The sequence below is a fragment of the Homo sapiens genome, chromosome 6 (genome assembly GCF_000001405.40).
Source record: "Homo sapiens chromosome 6, GRCh38.p14 Primary Assembly".
Lineage (NCBI taxonomy): Eukaryota > Metazoa > Chordata > Mammalia > Primates > Hominidae > Homo > Homo sapiens.
Window position 1 is genome coordinate 102,351,239 of NC_000006.12, and position 2,888 is coordinate 102,354,126.

A 2,888-nucleotide genomic window follows, 5' to 3' on the forward strand; every position below is an offset into this window, starting at 1 on the left:
TGCTTTCAATAAATGGTTCATAAATACTGTTAATCAGAAAAAAATGCTTCTGTTTTCAATAAATGGTTCACAAATACTGTTAATCAGAAAAAAATCCTACCGGTATTATGAAAATATAATAATATGTCAAAGGACTTTCTTGTAAAGTTAAAAATCTATACTTACATAAAATTGCATCGATAATGTTTTTAATAGTAGATAATTTCATTCAGGTGTTTTTTTATAAAAATATATGTTTCCTGAAGTTCACTTACAAGTATTCATTTCTTAAAAATGAGACACTTGCCACTCTGAAATTAAACTTTTATTTTTAAATTTAGTTGATTTTTACTCAGTTTCAACCCGGAGTTGTCTAAAGTTTCTCAATGAAAAGAGGTATTAAAGATGAGACAAAAGAGAGTTAAATAGTTCTACATTATAAGGCTCTACATTATAGAAAACCCTATAATAAAGACGTACTTTATCTACATAATTATCCTGGAACTATTATTACCAAAAGGGCTGAATAATGTTAATGTTGGCAACACTAAACAGCAGCATGTGGACCTAACTCACAGAAATAGTTATAAAAGTAAATAATAAGTAAATCCTCCAGCTTGCTTGCTAAATAACACTCTAGTTTTTGAAGACAAACAATTTACCTTCCATCTACTAAGAGTGTATATATATATATATAAATCTTGTATGTACGTGTATGTATGTGTGTGTGTGTACTGATAAACACACATATATATAAATGGTGGGGCAATAATTTTGGTGTCAGAAATCAAATAATGATCTAATGATAGTGGGAAGAAATTTCACTGCATTATTTGTTATTTGTTGCTTTTTTTCCTATAATATCGTTCACTCTTTTTGAAGTGTACATTTTAAAAATATCTAAGTTTTATATCTTTCAATTTTTTGACCTGTCCTATTATTTTAATACTTACCTAGCGAAATATATATACATAGACTTTACTATCAGCACATTGTATTGTGAGTTTTGTCTTTTTACAGGTTTATACATTTTACTTGGTAAGTAGATTTTCTTAGATGCTTTATAGCAGAAGGTAAAGAATCTGTTTAAGGATACTTGTATACCTCTTCTGTTTTCCTCACAAATTATTTCCGTAACTACAGAAAAAAAAAGTGTGTCTTTGTTGATAATAAAGGCTTTCTATTGTTTACATTTCATTAAAAAGTAATAGATTATTAATGTCAGTTCTTTTAGAATAATGATAAAAGGGCAGCTTCCTAGCCAGAAATCATCAACTTTTTGAAGCTGAGATGGAATTCACCAGGCATAGGCAAGTATCACAGTTGTAGGACTTTTTCCTTAGTTCGGCTGACAGCCAGGTTCTTCGTCAGAGATTAGACTCGCAGACACTTTGAAAAGTGAGAAAAAAAGGAATTTATTGGGAAAAAAAGGGGAAACAGGGACCCTCCACAAAGCCAAAGTCCTGCCAGTGAACTTCCTGTCTCGCAGATTGAATCCCTGTTGCCACCCAGGAAGAGGAGGGACCAGGCTCCACTGCACTGCAAACAGCATGAACTTGCTGAGGCTCTACCCCAGTGCACACTCCTCCCAGTGCACAGGCAGTGGGGGGTTCTCAGTAACCCCTTTATACTTGGCTGTCTCTTTCCCCCCTCTAAAGAAGTACATCTAACTGCCTTCGGAATAAAGATAAGGATAAGGACAAATATCTATCCTAACTGCTTTCTGCTGACAGAGGGTACTGTTTTGAAAAGACAGCAGTCAGATCTCCCTCAGAGGCCGATCTAAGGGTGCCCAGCAAAAGGGGTCATCTGAGTCTCCCGTTGCATGTCCCTTTGGAGTTTGATGGCATGAAGGCAAGAACAGACAAACCAGGTTATTGGAAAACTGTATCAAAATGAAATGAGGGGAGGGGTAAGGACAGACCAAAAATCCCAGGCTCTTTTACCAGTTTGCATGGCGAGAGGGAGGCCAAAAGCCCAACTGAAAAAAACAAACAAACAAACAAAACTTTACCTTTTCGCTGGCAGGTTGGGCTTTTGGATTCCCTTCCCCTGAGACCAATCCTAAACCAATCAGTTTAAGGTTTGGGAAATTAACTCTTTCCGGTTTGAAGGATGCATCTGAGGGGAGTATCCTGTAGTACCGAGACATAATTATCTGTTAGCGAAGAGAGAACAGAGGAGGAGGATAGAAAAATGAAGGCATTTTTAGGAGTCCCAGAGGTTCAGGATGCATTCGAAAGGGGTACAGACTGAAGAAGAATGGCTACCCATCTAGAGAGAGGAGAGCAGGCATCCCTGGTGCCCGTCTCTTCCTGGCAGATAGCCAGGGTGCATGAGGGAGAGAAGAGTTTCCTCTTTCTCTCTTCCATTCTTGTATTCCCGAGACCCAGTGACCTTGGCAGGTGCTGCCATGGGTGCCAAAGCGGCTTGCACCCATGAAGCATAAAGGGCCTAGAGAATAGGAATTATCTGCTCTCACCTATGTCTCTATCCCACCTACTGACAGTAGCCTCAGAGTTCCCTAGACCTCATTTATGCCATGGATACTAGCATGACTTTTATCCAGAGGCCTGTCTTAATTGGCAGGAATTAGCCATGCTCACCTGTGCTGTGCCTTTTAACCTCTGTAATTGTCTCTCTCTGGATCCCTTAGTTCCAATTTCCCTTCCTAGGGCTTTGACCCAAAGCTTAGAAATTAGTTTGGGATAAAAATATGTCTTACAGGGGGGTTGCGTGGATTCCTTATCATAAGCCAAATGCTAAGGTGAAGCTATGGAATTGACTCCTCCTCTGACAAGGAAAAGGATGTCTTGTGACACACCCAGATAACTGGTGGCTATAGGTATGCTTGTTAGGATTTGGGGGCATGGTGCTTGGCTTTGTTCAGCTCCCTTAGTCTTACTTTC

At 38.6% G+C, this 2,888-nt stretch overlaps 1 annotated feature.

Moving 5' to 3' along the window:
• Positions 1,517-1,686: an enhancer, noted in NCBI's record as "experimental_87198 CRE fragment used in MPRA reporter constructs". NCBI's record gives its function as "activates a minimal promoter by MPRAs in K562 erythroleukemia cells, with activity observed for both the introgressed and non-introgressed 6:102800715 variant alleles {active_cell/tissue: K562}" and the evidence as "EXISTENCE:reporter gene assay evidence [ECO:0000049][PMID:34662402]".